The sequence below is a fragment of the Homo sapiens genome, chromosome 5 (genome assembly GCF_000001405.40).
Source record: "Homo sapiens chromosome 5, GRCh38.p14 Primary Assembly".
In the NCBI taxonomy this organism is placed as follows: Eukaryota; Metazoa; Chordata; class Mammalia; order Primates; family Hominidae; genus Homo; species Homo sapiens.
In genome coordinates, this window is record NC_000005.10 from 124,642,315 (window position 1) to 124,659,644 (window position 17,330).

General features: G+C 43.1%; 1 protein-coding gene across 10 annotated transcripts in view, besides 2 other annotated features; it reads right to left on the reverse strand.

Moving 5' to 3' along the window:
* Positions 1-17,330, reverse strand: part of ZNF608 (zinc finger protein 608) — a 111,910-nt gene that overhangs the window by 5,400 nt on the left and 89,180 nt on the right. For 7 of the 10 annotated variants that reach the window (NM_001385621.1, NM_001385619.1, NM_020747.3 and 4 more), the window contains 4 exons: positions 7,296-7,383; positions 4,365-6,819; positions 1,930-2,347; positions 1,197-1,369 (listed from right to left, as the gene is read on the reverse strand). In NM_001385621.1, coding sequence (NP_001372550.1) covers positions 1,197-1,369; positions 1,930-2,347; positions 4,365-6,819; positions 7,296-7,383 — 3,134 coding nt within the window. Of the gene's footprint in view, positions 1-1,196; positions 1,370-1,929; positions 2,348-4,364; positions 6,820-7,295; positions 7,384-9,285; positions 9,985-17,330 lie in introns of those variants that run through there. The other 3 variants (XM_047417447.1, XM_047417446.1, XM_011543523.3) reach the window with 2 other exon arrangements.
* Positions 6,199-6,707: an enhancer, noted in NCBI's record as "H3K27ac-H3K4me1 hESC enhancer chr5:123984206-123984714 (GRCh37/hg19 assembly coordinates)". NCBI's record gives its function as "activates a minimal SCP1, AML or CMV promoter by ChIP-STARR-seq in naive H9 embryonic stem cells {active_cell/tissue: H9 hESC(naive)}" and the evidence as "EXISTENCE:reporter gene assay evidence [ECO:0000049][PMID:30033119]".
* Positions 9,720-9,769: an enhancer, noted in NCBI's record as "active region_23012". NCBI's record gives its function as "activates an Ori minimal core promoter by ATAC-STARR-seq in GM12878 lymphoblastoid cells {active_cell/tissue: GM12878}" and the evidence as "EXISTENCE:reporter gene assay evidence [ECO:0000049][PMID:35858748]".

Consider the following 17,330-nt stretch of genomic DNA (forward strand, 5'->3'; position numbering starts at 1 on the left):
GGGACATGACAAAGAGTCAAGGCCAGAAAACAGCAGACACAGCTCTCACTCCTAAGCCACATGACTTACTCTTGCAAATGAGCCTCACACTGTACAAGGCTCAAATTTGTGCCTTATTACATGTCACGGGCACTCAGCTTTGCTCGTGATGAACCCCCAACCATGAACACTGATGATGTGAATATGAAGGGTCAATACAAGTAGCAGAAACCTCAAATCTCTCCAGAAGTCAAGTTAACAACAAAGATAAGTGATGCAGATTAGGGAGCTTCTATTTATATCCATGCACATTGATGGGGAGCAGCACATCTGCCTAGATGGGGCTACTAGTTCCCATCAGTTACTGCCATGTCATTTTGAACCAGATTTTCTATTGTCTTTTTTTTTTTTTTTTTTTTTTTTGAGACAGAGCCTTGCTCTGTCGCCCACGCTAGAGTGCAGTGGCACAATCTCTGCTCACTGCAACCTCTGCCTCTCGGGCTCAAGCAAATCTCCTGCCTCAGCCTTCTGAGTAACTTGGATTACAGGTGCCCACTACCACTAGGCTACTTTTTGTATTTTTAGTAGAGACGGAGTTTCACCATATTGGCCAGGCTGGTCTCGAATTCCTGACCTCAGGTGATCTGCCCGCCTCGGCCTCCCAAAGTGCTGGGATTACAGGCAGTGGCTCACTCCCGGCCCAGATTTTCTATTGTCTTAAGAGAAAGAGGTGATCTGAACTTGCATGTAAAATGTCTGATTTTTAAAAGGTATCCTGCAAGAAAACATTTTTTGAAAAGCTTGATTTGCCCAAAAAGTCAACAGTTTGTAGCCTCTGAACTACTTACTTACCAAAATTATATAAAATATACTCCTCTGTTACCTAATTCCTCAATGTCTTATCAAACATATTTTGCACCAAAAGTTGGTTCCTATGAATTTAAATTTCCACCTAACAACCATCCTCCTGGGTAAGCAAGGTATACTAGATTTTGCAACAGAAAAGCTTGCTACTGCCATACGTGCTTTAACAATTTTCTCTCATGTGTGAAAGCGTCTTACTTTTGAACGCTCCATTCTTTACGTATTAGGATAAAACAGCATCCTGAAATCACAGCTGGGTTCCGAAACCATTTATATTTCAAGACTGTTCTCTAGCTTGTTCCCCTTTCTCCCCAAATCACAGTACTTTTAAATAACAACAAAAGGAGGCTTACAGCAGGAGACTTGCTGCGGTATTGGTTAGCATGCTGCTGGAGCAAATCCAGTGCTTTAGATTCAGTGGTTGTTTTCGTGTTGACGCTAGGGCTGGTATTGACTTTCTCTGTCTCTTCTCTCCCTGACATCTTCCCATAAACAGGATAATGAAATCCTGGAGAGAGATATGCCCCTGCAGATAAACAACAAATGCCACATCAAGTTACAGGCTATATCTTTAAAAAAAATCATTTGGGTTACATGAATTTGGGATAAGAGTCAAAGAGATCTTAAAATAGGGGGTTACATTAAGAATGGGCTACATCATCATTAAACTGTGTCTAGCTTCTCCAATTTTCTTCTCCCAGTTAATTCATCCTGATGAAGGGAGGTTATAAACAGAATTGAGCTTATAGCCATTTCATACATTTACGTGTCCGCTTAAGTGAAAGGAATAGTAACTATAATGATTATGACAGTAAGTGCTTAGAATATTTTTATAGGCAATAAAGTATCTGTCAGCCTAACAGCTATAGCAGACCATCAGAGACTATGGAAACTATGGCTGAGGATTCTTGACATTTCATTAAAAAAACTTATATTAAATCAGTTTTATCTTTGGGACTTTAAACAGCATAAAAACAAGGAAAACAAATGTCACTCTTGAAGCTTCTAATTTATCTTGAGTTTTTAACAGCTAATATTTGAACATCGCCTCTTTCCTCCAATATAGTCAGAACCGACAACACGTACCAGGATAACTGTGCATTAGGACGGGAGAAACAGCCCGGTATGCAGGATGGCTGGGGTCGTACATCTGTGGGTAAGGATAAGCATGCAAGTACTGTATGTATGACTGATGCTGACTCATGGGTGAGGAGACAGCCACTCTTGTTCCCCGAGAGTCCTTCCAGTTCACAGGAGTCTTTCGATCATCATTTTTCAGCTTGCTCTCCTCCATTGATTGAGAATCAGGATGCTTGGCCTCTTTGGGCTCCTCTTTAATGCTTGTTAACGATACAGGAAGGCTGGGCACACCACTCTCTTTATTAGGAGTTTTCCTCGGACTATCCTCTTTTAATTTCTTCTCTCTATCAAGTTCTTCTGACTTTTGCTGATCCAGATATTTGGGCTGGTATACATAATGATGCCATGTTCTTGAATCTGGGTCCTGATTTTTTTGTTTTAAAGAAAAAAAACCCAACAGATTTGTTTTAAAATTTCAATTTTAAAGAAAACTTGTTAATAATCATGACAGCACTAGCACTCTTAATTTTAATGCTAAGTTGACATTTATTTCTGTGCTAGACACTGTGCTAATTGCTTTACCTCCTTCTCTTACAAAGTAATAATGTCCCAGGTAGGCATTATTACTGATCCCCTGTACAGAAGATAAAACCAAAGTGTTTAAAGTTCAGGCAACATCAAGGTCATGCTGCTGCCCAGTCGTGGAGCTGGGCTTCAAACTCAGGTCTGCTGAAATTCAGAGCTGGGCCCTTAATGTCATTTCTCAACACTAAATAACATCCTCAGACATATTTAATTCTGTCTTCGTTTGCCTTTTAATATCTCACACAGGTGAAAAGAATGTTAAAAACTCCAACTCAAGCTAATAATAGTAAATTTAAGTAATTGCTATAGCTATTAACATCACTTAGGAGGAAAAACTCTTGGTTTCCTAATACATTTTCCTCATCTACTGCAGCTGAGGCTTAATATATTGGCTCACTTCTCATTACGTGTTAACATCTTAATCAAAACAAAATTTCAAATTAATAGCACACGTTATGGCTTCTCTATTGGAAAACAAAGCCATCTATCTATAAACCCCCAAAATTATATAAATCTTCTGCAGCCCTGTGAATTGACAGCCTGATTTATGCCTCTGTAAGTGGGGAAACTGAGAATCCTAAATGGCCTTTGTGATCCCCATCCCATTCATGATATAAACCCACTGGGGATTCAGGTTCTCAGAGAACATGCAAAGTTGTGCCTAAGTAAATGTGTGTGTGTGGGTGGCGGTGGTGGGGGCTGGTGGTTCTTGCTCTAATGCACCAGGGATTATCTAAGCATGGGGGTGAGGGTGGGAGTGGGGATGTGCAGTGCTGGGAAATAACCAGGATTAATGCTCACGGGGTTGCAGTGGGTCAGGATGTCTGAACCATGACAGAAGGTGCTAGTACATTTGTGGTTTCGTGGTGACCAATTTTCAGGTGTTCTCAAGCTGACTGACCCATGGGGCTCTGGGACAGCTGTTGAGGCCTGCCACCCAAACCTCCTCACCCTCCTCACAAACATTCAGCACTGAGCTCTGAGTTTTGGGGTACTTAATATAGGGAGTAAGACTGAAATCTAGGCATCTCTGACCCCATGTGAAAGAAATTTGGGCCCCAAATTCTATTAAAAAGATTAATGGGAAATGTGAATTCAGGGACCCAGTTTTTATTATCTTCAAAGAAGATGCTAGTAGAAATTTGAAAATGGAAAATAAATATTTCAGAGATAAGACTCAGAATCTCAGAGTTAGAAGAGAATTCAGCAGCCCCATTGTGGAAAGCCCTCGCCTTGGACTAAGAAATTAAGGGATCCTGGCCAGGCGCGGTGGCTCACGCCTGTAATCCCAGCACTTTGGGAGGCCAGGGTGGGCGGATCATGAGGTCAGGAGATCGAGACCATCTCGCTAACACGGTGAAACCCCATCTCTACTAAAAATACAAAAAATTAGCCGGGCATGGTGGCACGTGCCTGTAGTCCCAGCTACTCAGGAGGCTGACGCAGGAGAATCGCTTGAACGGAGGCGGAGGTTGCAGAGAGCCAAGATTGCACCACTGCACTCCAGCCTGGGTGACAGAGAGAGATTCCGTCTCAAAAAATTTAAAAAATTTAAAAAAAGAAATTAATGGACCTCATCAGAGTCACAGAGCAAGTTAGTGGCATGAAACACAAATCTGCAAAGCACCCATCCACAGTTCCTTTTACTATACACCATGACAAGAAAATACTGATAATGTACATTTTAGAGCTACATAGTAACTCCTGAGAATCTTAAGATATTTTTCAAGAGCAGAGGAAAAAACTAATATGGGTTTCTTTCCTGTGTCAGAAGTCTAACCAGATCAAGCCCAGACATGTATAATACAAGTCTCAGACTGCTCTCTCCCTGTTGGGGCCACGCTCCACAATCTTACTTGTTTAAATCTCGAGGTTGGGTCTACACCTGTCTGCTTCATAGAGTCCATGACAGACTTCATTTCTACAGCCTCCTTAATAAGCTGGTGGTTTTCCATCTGCTTAGCTTTGAAGCTGTCGGCCTGAAGCTGCTGCTGGTGATTGGAGAGAAGCTGCGATTTACCTGTCTCCTCAGTTTTATTAGGCACTGATGGCCCTAGTTTAGAATGGTTTTTGTTAGGCTCCGGAGTAGAGGGAGCTTTTGAGATTGTGGCCGATGGCATATTTTTCTGTTTAGTTTCCTCCTTGCCCAGCTCTTTCAAGGGGAGCTCACTTTTCCTTTCACAGTCTCCTCTCCCAGTCTGGGCCATTTTCTGCTCTGCCAGCCTCTGGTCCTCATAGTACTTCTCATACTGCTGTCTATAGGCAGGGCTGGTGGCCATCAGAGACTTCTGGTCCATATAGAGCCCATATGCATACTGGCCATAATAAAGTGACTGAGCCAGGGCAGGATGTCTTTGTGTGATCACCGACTGGTGCTGAGGCTGTAAGGATGCAGAATTGTGGTCCACTTTCTTAGAATCTAACTGCTCTGCCTTGTCTTTCTTTTCAGCATCTTCCTCAGACTCCTTCTTGATCTTCATTCCCTGCGTGCTCCCACTATTTCCAGCTGCAGGGGCACCGACCTGCCCAGGGTGCATGTAACTTGGAGAATAATAAGGATCATAGCTGTGGTAATAGGGAGAATGGGACTCTTTCAGTTGAGATGATTGTGCTGTAGTTGAAGAATGCCCTTTTACAACACTGTCCTTACTAGAAATAATATCTGATGGGGAACTGGCCTTTGATCTCATACCCTCCGACCTGCTGTCAGAACCACCATCGTCAGCAGCATCAGATATGTCTGAATAGGCCGGGCTGCTTGTCTTTGCAGCTGAACTCTCTGCCCCATTCTGGGTCAACACATGCAGAGGTGCCATTGGTGCCTGCCCGTTCACCAAAGTGCTGCATTCCAGCCTCGAGGCGCTCCCTATGGAAGGGCTGGGAGCGTTGTCTGTGAAAGTGTAAACCTTATCGGCCTCAGCTTTGATACTGGCCATGCGGCTCTCCTGAGACTCCGACAGTCCATTTGCCAGCCCTTCATTCTTGTTGAGATGATCCTTTAAAAAATGCCCAGGTAAATCTTTGCTGGCCCCCTTGGAGTCCTCTAGTTTCCCCAGCTTGGCATCCATTTTTGGGCTTCCCGTCTCTTTCCCTTCTTTGTCCTTTAGCTTTCGCTTCTCCTTTTTCTTTTTGTCTTTGAGTGACACCAGAGCTGGGTTCACGGTGATGGGCTCTCCCATAATTGTGGGCTTTGGTTGAATGGGTTTTAACGGAGGACTCTTTGGTGTAGCCTGAACAACAGTTGTTGTGAGGGAGGGCAGTCCGGGTATTGTCCCAGTGGTGGTCGTTGTAAAGGTTGCAGTGGGTATAGCGATTAGCTGCGGGGGAGTGGGGGCTGGGGCAGGGGCAATGGGCCGGGCACTTTTCAGTTTAGAGAGGTTTTTGTCCGTTTTGCAGTTGGTAGCTTTTTTGCCCTTTTCTTTATCTCCTAAATTTTTCTTGTCAATTAATCCTTCTGCTTCCAGTTTAGGCATCTCAGCAGCCAAACTGCCGTCTGCTGCCGAGCAACTGTCTAACGCAGCCGTCATGTTGGAGATTACTGGAAGGTTGTTCAGTTCATTGTTAAGGCCCTTCTTTTTGCCAGAATTCTTCCCAGCTTTAGCACCAATAATGGAACCTGGGCCATTGCTCATCAGCTCTCTCTTTCCCTTTGGGGTCCCAGGTGGGTTTCCAGCACCAGGGGATGCCGGTGCCTTCAACTGGTCATAAGCAGATACACTTGTGCTTGGCTCACTGCATTCAAGTGCCACATTACTCAATCCTTCCTCACAGTCCGAGATCTTGTCCTCACTGTCAGGCTCGAACTCCAGCTTGTTTTCTGGGTCTAAGTGTGCATGAGCCTGGTGGTACCTCAGGCCGTTAATGTGCTTGTACTTTTTGTTGCAGTTTGGGTGGGGACAGTCGATTAACACTGGAGAAGAGCAGCCTTGGTCCAAAAAAGTAGTCTCTGGTTTCCCTTGAGGGGTAGTGGGAGTGCTTCTGGAATTTGTGCGGACACGCTTTCCAGGCTTATTGTCCTCAGAGCTGGAGTTCAGGTCCAGCTCCATTGGAGGCTTGTTTTTCCTTTTGTTGGTGGAGGAAGGGCTGGCTTTGATATCCTCAGCAGCACAATTTGGGGGTGTCCTTCGTCCGCTGGCATTGAGGCTGCCCCGCCTCCCTTTCCCATTGGCCCCCCCTCTGTTCTTATTCTGCAGCCCTCTGGACTCTGTGAAGCTGGCCTCGGAGCCCGGGGCAGCAGCAGCAGACCTCGCTCTCTTCCCTCTGCCCCGGCCCCCTCTCATCTCCAGGTCACTTGTCGGTGACTCACAAAACCTATGGAAGCAAGTAACAGATGTGAAAATGAGCATCCCCAAAAGAGCCAGGTGAAATCACAAAGTACACAATGCAGTAAAGAGGAGTCAACACTCCAGTAGCTTCAGGGCTGGGCCCAGTCAAGGAAAAGACTGACAATTTCCAACACCTGCAAAAGAACAGGCGACCAAGGGCTTATATTCTTCCTCAGAAAAACCAAAGAAAAACAGCTCAAGTAGCTAGCTTCCAAACCAGTTCAAATTCCCACTTTGAGAAAAAATGAAAACAAAGACAGGAGAGAAGGGGTGGGGAGCAGAGATCTTCTGATAGAAAAGAAATTTAGCATCTGCATTTTACTGCGTTCAATCCTAAATTGCTCATTTCTCCTTTGCCTGGTTTCAATTACAGGCACACTTTTATGTATTATGAATCTCTCTCTACAGTTTCCCTGCAAAGAGAGGATGGGGAAGGAGAGAAATAAAAGGCCCTGTTCATACCTGGGAGGGGCCCAGTCGTGCTTGGTGCAGTCCAGTAGGGTTCCCACGTACGTTTTGTTCCTCCACGTGACATTGACCACTAGGACACCTGCAGGAGGCAGGGGATGAAAAAGGATCATAGTTACCACTGATTACTGTTATTTCCAGTTCACTTATTATTTTTTTCTCTTTTTTTTGCCAGCAAGTTCTATTCTCATTTGCTTTTAAAAGCTGTGGTTTGCATTCTTCCTCTTTCTGGTTTCAGTGACCTCAAGTTAAAACCCACAGGAAATAATGTGTGTTGTGCATTCGTGCGCGTGCGCATGTGGTACAAAGGAGTGAGACTGTGTGTGAGAGTGTAATCAAGATACTGCTGACAGAAGGAAATGGTTTTTGCCATGTCCTGCTGTAAAACAGCAACACTCACCTCTTAATTTTTCTATTATTACACATAATTGCTTTCGTTTGGCAAGCAGCCAATATAAACTAGCGCCAGTTACCAGTGCTTAAACCAGAGGGTGACTGAAAGGAATCGGTTTTGTTTCCAATTCAACAATATAAAATGATGGTGATTTTTATTAAGAAAAAATAATTATGCAGGTGCATAAAAATAGGCATAGACAGGAGAGTGGGGACTCAAGAGTCCAGATAGCAGACAATCAACTACGATTTCACTTCCCTAATCCTCCCCTCTTTGACTTTGTGAGACAGTAATCAGCCTGGGTACCGTATCTGTTTCAGTGTTTGGTTTTGTTTCATATTAAGGACTCCTAAAATAGCCCTCTTAAGAAAACAAATGTGCACAATAGATTTACTCTTGGGGTTATCTTTGGAGTCAACTTTGGTACGCATTTGCCTCAGAGGATTAGAAAAGAAATCTCAAAACTAACACACTCGTTTCCTGCAAGCCATTCTGCTTTTTCCAACTGCTTTTCAGACAGACAATTTAATTTAGCACTGCATCTGTGAATTACTAAACTTAAGTGTGCTTAGTATACCAAATGTCACAGAGAAAATATAATATCCTCTTTATTTCTGAGAGGACAAATGCCAAATTACAAAAATCACTTCTTTAAAGCATATTTTAATAGAACCTTGATTTTGAGACATACATAAATTATTAGGGTAAAGAAATAAAATATTTAACTGAGCCTTTGTTTTCTTTTCTGCATCTACCCCTACTCTTTCTTGGAAGCACCAGAAGACATTAGTCAAAATCTGTTTCTAGCTAGTTTGCTCACTTGCATTACCATTGCCATTGTGAATTTTACAGAAAACCTGTAGTGGGCTCCTTTACAGTAAGGGAAACCTGACAAGGTAAGACTCATTTCCTTGGGAACCTTTTAACAGCAGGTAAAATATTTCAATGGTTGGGACTCAAGTAATGGAGAACGATTTCTTTCCAAAGTCTCAAAAGGAGATTTTAAAATTGTTTCCCATATGGTCTATGTTGCTATTACTTAGGCAACAGCTGAATTATTTACTCTGTGTTAATTCAGTGTACTGTAGCAATAGGCTAGCAGGGGAAAGGCTAGGATGGAGCAAAGCAAGTATTTCCTCAAATCATAGCTGATTCCAATGAAATTCCCTCAGGAAATTTTTTTAAAACCATTGTGTATAAAATTTCCTATTGCGATGAGAATCCATGGTAATTAGGCATTTGGTCAAAATCTGCACAAGACAGAACAATTGGAGGAAAGGATTCTTTATGAACACATCCCTTCAGGAAAGGGGAGGGGGTGGGAGAGGAGGCAAAGGGGAAGACTGAGCTGGTTTTCTCATCATCTTCTCTCTGGGGCACTGTGTGTGGTGTCAAAGACCTTTGCAGCTGCTTAAAATTCTTTAGCATGTCAGCTATATTTACAGTGCAGGAATATATCTGTACTGCCAGAAGGTTACTGCATTTTAGCTTTAGATCCAATAGGCTGAATCACTGCGTTCCAGAGTCCCTGATGTAGCACAAATATATAATTAAAATTGCTTGAAAGGAAACATGAAAGAAACAACAAACCTTCCATTCTTGCAGTAATAAAATTAAAAACAGGAAAAGTCTGCACAGACACTTAACATTTGTCTGCAGTGAAAGGCTTTTGTTATTGCTTTTCCCCTAAGGGTTTCGCGTTTCCAGAGAACGCTGGCCGCGGATTGGCCGGCGCCCGCTGCGAGCACTCGCGTCTGATTGGCTGGGCCGAGGCGGCCGCCCGGAGCACAGAGGCAGCGGTCGGGTAGAGGTGAGCGTGGCGGAGGCAAAGGGACGCATCCCCCACGGCGCGCTGGCCGTGCGGGGCTAGAGGGCCGCCTGCGCTGCTCGGCTCCCTCGGTGCACGCGGGACACAGGCTCATTCGCACTAACGAGTCCGGCCGTGCAGTGAAAGCTTCGGTCTGCGTGACCGTGCTGCGCTCCCCGCGCCACGCGGCTCCACACAACACGCCGGCCCACGCAGAACCCTCAGAACGAAATTCACCGTCTCAATACAGGCTCAAGGGAAACCTGGAGTCTGAAAAAAGGAAGGGACCCAGGGCAGGCAATTAATCACTGGTTATCTGGGGCCACAGGTTGAAGCTGTCACAAAGGCTAATCTGCAGTTGCAACTTCCTCACTGTAAAATTATTCACATCTCCTGCTGCTCTTTCTGGAAGCCACACAAGCAGACCTCTTATCGAAGTACAAGTGATGCCGTTGTTATTTGCACTCGGAAGGAATCAAGTCCTGGAAAGAAAAATCCATTTTCAACCTCAAAGGGCCTAAATAAGTAACCCTTATTTTTCCAGAAGCACTCCGTATTTAAAATGCTCAAAACAAATGCTTTACACCCAAGGAGATTTTGAACAGTCTCCATCAAGCAGTGCTAATTAAATATGTGTGCTTGTGTCTATCTTTCTTTATATGTACGAGCCGCTTCACAATGCCACAGAGTGTTTAAATCTGCCCACAATTCACATCCGAATATATACAGGCACATGTTTACACAGCCAAATCTGCCACTCTATATTGGAATGAAGGCTTAAGGAATGTTTCTCATATAAACTACACAGTGTACTGTTTCTTTGTAAGAAGGTCTATGTTTAGACAACACCCCATTGTGAAGGGCCAAGTATAAAGGCGGTGTTTAGGTTCTAAAACTTGTAAATGATTTATCATTTTGCTGAAATCTCAAAATCTTGAACATTTTATAACCCACAGTCACATAAAGCAGACTACACTTACTGAAGGCATAAATGCCCATGATGAAAATTAGTTCTTTAAAAGTGCAAATTTGTATTTTATAAATCTGGGCATAAAGTTCTATTTCTCACATGTGAATTGGAAATAAGTGTACACTTATTCCAGAAAGATTAGTTTCTTTTCACGCACATTTATTCAAACATCTAGCCAGTGAGCTAGGTGTTGGGGACGTTCTATACAGGTACTTTTCATCTTTATATTCAAGTATTCTACCAGGTTTATTATTCTTCCCTTTCCACCCATGGACTGGGCCTGGCCTTTGTCAGAGAGCTAATGCCCTGTAACATTTCATCTGAGGCTTATTACTAATAAAGTAAGAATACAGCTGAAGAGTACAATGGATGGTTTGAGAGTGTGCTGACCACACACAGCTTTCTTCTTTGTACTGTTAACACTTTGTCTAAGATGCTGCCCCCAAAGGCCTATTACCTACAGAACATTTAATAAGAACAAGGTCTTTATTATATAACCTGAGCCTGTTACTTCCTCAAGCCAAAAAAGCCTGAGACCTCATAAGGATTTCAGTCAGTGTTCTGTTATGTCCTTTGTAAAGGGTTTCCAGGAAGATGTCAAGCCCAACAAACACTTATTGTGTGTGTCTACAGGGTACACATTAGGTGCCTATTTAGTGCTATGGAATCAACCATGTTTTACTTGGAGCTCCATCCAAACTCTGTACTTCAAGAGTCTGTGCATGAAAAGAACAGAAGAGACACAGGCATACACTGTGATGCACAAGTGGAAGTATAGTTTTGTCTATTACCTGCATTTTTACAGTAGGCCCCTTATGCTATCACGTCAGGCTAGACCCTGGATTTCATGTTCATGGTGCCCCCACCTAGACCAGTGATCCTAACCCTGCCCCCATCTGACTGGACCAGTGATGGGCACCTGGAGCAAAGGCAGCCAGCCCAACAGGGACTTATGTTGGGAATCTGAATGAGAAATATGGAAGTTCCAAAGAACTGGCAATAGGAGTAGAAGCCTAAAGCTTGCAAGATAGTAAGAGGCGTAAAGAACCATGATGGGCCAAAGTTCCAAGGGCGCAATAGCTATAAGACCAGGAAGCCAACTGCACTGTTGGTGCAACACCCTCAGGACTTTGTGTGCGTGTGTGTGTGTCCTTTTTCTCTCCAGCTTCATCACTGATAGAAGATTTCACCAGCACTCCCCCAGGATTGCCTATTTTCCAGCCATCTTGTTAAAAAGTTGTTCCTTGTGTTAAACTAAATTTGTCTTTGAATACCTTGGTCCTGGCTGAGCCTCCTGATACCCTGCAGATGCAGTCCACCCATCATCCACTCAACAGCCTTTCATCCAGGCAAGGATAATGACCATGTTGGCATTCTCCCCACCTCCTGCTCACTGTCTTTTTCCTATTTTTTTTTAATGAGATGGGCTCTCAGTATGTTGCCCAGGGTGGTCTTGAACTCCTGGCCTCAAGCAATCCTCCCCCGTCAGCCTCCCAAAATGCTGGGATTACAGTGTGACCCACCACACCCAGCCTCTATGTCTTCTTTACTCTCCAGCCTAGACAAGTTTCTTCAACCGTTCTTCATGTCACATTTTTAATTCCCCTAAAAGAAACCTTGAAGATGCCTTAGTCCAAATCCCTAGGGAAAGTTAAAGTTCCTAATGAATTAGAAGCAAATGGAGACAAATGCAAAGGTTCTCACTTCTGTGAATCCTTGCCCTAGACACACGCATACCAGGCACACTGCCAAAAGACAGCCATTCTCTCCTGGATCCCCACAGCACTGCATACACAGTTCTTGCCCTGATGGAAACGTACGAGCCATGTTTCCCTCCCCTTTCTGAGCTCACAACTAGACTCCTTCTCAGCCTCCCTATCAGTCCGATGCAGCCATGTGACTGAGTCCTACAGAAAGCAAGTGAGAGAACTGATGAATGTGGGCCACTTCCAGGCCTGGCCCATAAGAACCTCTCATCCCTTTCTGTCTGGCTGCAATGGAAATGGCTATTGTGATCTCGAAGTCCTCAGGATAAAGGTGGCAGAGTCTCCTTCATCTGGGACCCTGAATGACAAGGAGAACTTCCCAGGTCTGAACTTAAGGCTATTTGTCCTACCGTAATACATGGCCCCCATAATATTTTACTCTGCTTGTATACACAGTATGCCTAACTCTTCCAACTAGATGACACTCCTTGAAAATAGGAGCAGTGTCTGCACCCACAACCCCTGGCGGCACAGTGGCTACCTAATAGTGAGAATTCATTAAACACCTAGGAACTAACTACACGAGGACTGACGAGAGAGAGAGTCTAGACTGAATCCTACTCAGTGACTTCCTTTTATTACTACCATACTTTTTCAATAAGCATAATCTCCCACTAGTTTTATAGATGATAGACATTCTCTGTGGAGAGGCTTTGCTCCCAAGATGTTATAAATGTGGTTTATGAATTATTATTTCTGGTATTTGTGAAGCTGTTTCCTCAAGAACGGGGCAAATGCCTGATTTCCCAGTGGATTGACATAATTCTGTTTGTATTGAGTTTAAAGACTGCTTCAGAGTCTTTAAAGTGCCTCATCCCCGGGACAGAAGTCTTTGCCAAGCATCGCAAATGCTGAGTTTGGAATCAGACAGAAGTTTTTTTGAACTCTCTCAGACTACCACATCTGGATGCATTTGATGTGCATCCAGGCAGAAAACAGAAACCTCATTCGAATAACACCAAATGGTAACCCATTCATGCCATATGCCTTTAAAAAAGAAAGTTTACACATTTCTTTCCTTTTATATATTTTTTTCTAGTGAAACATTGGTGACAAAATGTCACAATATGCTGATTTCATGAGTACAGGATAAAATTCATATATTTCAGATATCATATTACCCTCCATTTTTACACAACGTGACTATTGTGCAAGGTATGATTTATCACCATTTCTTTGTTCAGGACTCCCTCCCCCCATTATTATGTTGTCGTCACTCTGTGGTATTCAATACTGGTACTTTGTAAAGGCTGAATCTTGTATAGCACAAGCTTCGCTGTTCCAGCCTCGGAGCTTATAACCTTCAGACAGATCCTTCTTCAAATATAATTATTTGGGAAAATTTAAAATGTACAACTAAGGTTGCTCATAAAATACCTGCCAGCCAAAAATCAGAGGGACTTTCCCATTACCTGTGCCAAGTATATATAGAGCACTAGGACAGGAAAAGTAAGTGTTGTCACATGACCATAAAATGCAGTATGTTTTTTTTTTAAAGAGCCCTACCGCTGGGCTGAATGTTTGAAGAGTCACTTTAAACACATCCTGTAATCAAACCATCTGGAACACAGTGCTGCGATTAGTCACCCTGAACATAGGGCTTTATCTGAACAAATAGTGTATGGCAATGGAGCTTGGGAGATAGGGCAGTACTAACAAAAGGAAGTGTAATGAAACACTTTATGCCCTAGTGTGCCGCCACCCCAGTCATAAACCCCAGAGACACACTGCTCTGGTGTTAATGTACTACTTTATGAAAGCACAGTGAGCTTAAAGATTAAAGGACTGAAGGGCTAAAAATTGCTGGTTTGGATAGATCTTCTCTGTCAGCGGCTGGAATATGTTGGCATCACTCTATCTGCGTTAATTATAACCTCTCAGATGACAGTTGAGCATTCCTATTAGGGTTTGGTGTTATTTTCAGGGCATTAGGAACAGGGTTTGTTTATGGGAGGGTAGTTACGATTCTTGGTTTGCCAGAGGTTAATCTGAACACAGACTTGTTTTTGGTTCATCTAAACCCAATCCACATACAACGACAACAAAAAATGAAACCTTAAGCAATAACAAAAGCAATGGAAAAATGCTGTTCTACTCTGCATTTTAAAACATGATAATCTTTCTTACTTGACTGTACTTATCTCTTTCAAAAGTACATTTGGTCATTGGTATACAATCTATGGAAATCCTTTTTTAAAAAAAAAATCTGAAAGGATTTTCCCCCTAAATACACAGAATAAGCCCTAAACACACACACACACACACACACACACACACACACACACACACACACACACACAGCTAAAGAAACCTTGTTTCCCCATGGGCCTTATGGTTTAATACACAAAAGAACACAGAGCCACTTCCATCACTGTCACCTCCCCTGCAGCCTTTGTTCTGAGGCCTGATGAGCTGTATTGATTTGGGAAAATCATTGAGCTTCTTTGGAAAACTAGACTCTCGCTTATTCACTGCCATCTATTTCTTTCCCATGAAGACAGGTGGTCAATATCCAGCTGACTGGTCAGCTAAAAGAAGCCCAAGCTGCTTTTTTCTTGCTTCCCTAGTAACATTATCATTTCCCACTTCTAGAAGATACAATGGCCTGTTAAGGAGTCTTGTGAGTAAGAAGAGGGAGCAGAAATAAGACTTTTATAAGGCACCACCGGTAACACTAAGATGCTGTCCCATATGTTCACGTGGGAGGCTGCACCGCACATATAGATGGTGACGATATTTTCACTGACCAAGTTTAAGCATCAGTGAAAACTTACAGGGCCCAAGATATAACATGAAAAGAAATACTAAATCAAAACAGATCATTAGAGACCAGGTGCAGTGGCTCACGCCTGTAATCCCTGCACTTTGGGAGGCCGAGGCGGGTGGCTCACGAGGTCAGGAGATCGAGACCATCCTGCCCAACACAGTGAAACCCAGTCTCTACTAAAAAATAAAAAAATAAAAAAATAAAAAATAGCCGGGCCTGGTGGTGGGCACCTGTAGTCCCAGCTACTCGGGAGGCGGAGGCAGGTGAATGGCGTGAACCCGGGAGGCAGAGCTTATAGTGACCTGAGATCGCACCACTGCACTCCAGCCTGGGCGACAGAGCGAGACTCCATCTCAAAAAAACAAACAAACAAACAAACAAAAACAGATCATTAGAGATCAATTAATGTTTACTGTGGAAAGACATGCTTTACTTCTTTTAAATAATCAAAACATATGTTCTACCAAGCAAGTGTCCTAGTTACAAAATGTCTTAGGTGTAATTTAGACATTTTAAGTAACAAAGAGCATCATAAAAAAAAATCACATGGAGATCTTTAGAAAGTAATTTTTAATCAGGAATTTTGATCAGTAACAAAAATATTTGCTTTTAAGTTAGGCAAACATACATATCCTAAAGCAACATTGCCCTTGATGACTTGAGGCCAGCTTTAAAATAAAATAAAATATATGTACTGCACCATTCATATACAATATGTACCCCTTATTGTGTAGACCGTTCCTCTAGTAGTTCCTGCTAAGGTTCCTGGAGTCCCTACTTTGGGGACAGGCAGGCAGAACAGGTTTCAGGTGATAGTGTTGGGGGAGGAGGGAAGAAGACAAGTCCCCTGAGCTTGCTTCAGCAAGGTCAGCAAGTCAGACATTTAACTGGGATGCATCAAAAGCCACCCCCTGTACCCCAAAAGGGATGGCCTTCATGCTGTGGTCCCTCAGCGCTCAGTCAACACACAGCAGGATGCAAGGGACAAAGGAGGACAGGAAGATAGAATCAAATAAAAAAATACAGTCTTCTGAGACAGACATTTGGAGCAATTCAAATGCATAAACTGAATATGTACATGTATAGAGTGTGTGTCTGTATACATTTGTACCAAGGGGTTTTATTTCTTGTCTTTGATTAAACTTCCTAGTAAGTAGCTGCCTCCTTTGAGGCTTAGTGCCACCAAACTAAGCAACAGCATCACTCTGATTTCTAATGCCAAGTTTGAAACTTAATTTTTCTCCTGCTCCTTGTCAGGCACCACTGGTTGGTCTGAAATCTGATGAGTTTGGATGACGATTTCTAGTGTGGGGCAGGTTTCTCAAACCCTCTCCTTTTTTAAAGCCAAATTTCCTCATTAGAGTAGCAGAATGCTTTCTCCTTCTCTTCCTCCTCCCTCTCTTTGTGGGAAGACAAAGGTTCAATGCCCACTGTAACAGAATTGACTCCCCTCCCCAATCCAGTCTCACAAGCTTGTATCATTAGCTTGTTAGGACACATTTTTCTTCTTTTAAATAAAAGTGTTAAAAAGTTTGGGAAAGGTATTTTGTAATTATTGAACTAGGCCTACTATGAGCCATAATAATGACACAGATCTTGTGGTATTACCTCCTAATGGTCATTCCTTTCCTAAGAGTGTTATTTTAGAAGACGGCTATTACAAGTGGCCCTGGGCACATAGCACAGGGCCAGGGTCTGTCAAAATGAGAGGGAAACAGCTTTCACTTACTCCCACTGTCAGACTCAGGAGGTCACTGAAGATAAGCAACTGAAAGAGTGCAGCCATTCAAATCATTGGTCCCAGTCCTTTCCTGCACTTAATATTAATTACAGGATTTTTTTTTTTTTAAGTTAACAACTCAGATACCCAAGCTCTCCACGATGCCATTACTTCGACTAGAAAAAAACAGGTAAAGAGAACAGCAAGCCAGACAAAAATAAATCATCCTTCAGGCAAAAACTCCCCCTCCATGCCACTCACCAAAAGACGAGTACTCTAGGACTAAAAGGGCGTAGAAGGGTGTAAAATGCTCTGAATTTGAGAAGTCATTAACAGCTATCTGCCACTTCCGTATTTTCTGTATCTGGCAGCATAGTCTGTTTCTTGCCCAATTCTTCCCCAGTGGCAGGAGCAAAGGAAGGAGGAGCAGGCAGGAAGGCAAAGTAATTACCAAGATGAATGAAACTGAAAGATGCAAAGGAAATAAAATGTAAGAATGAAAAATCTCATGCCTTGTGGGGAGGGATAGGCAAGGAAAAGGAAATAGGAGCTATTGTCTTCCTAACTCCTCTCATCACCTAGTTTTCCTCACAAACCCACCACCT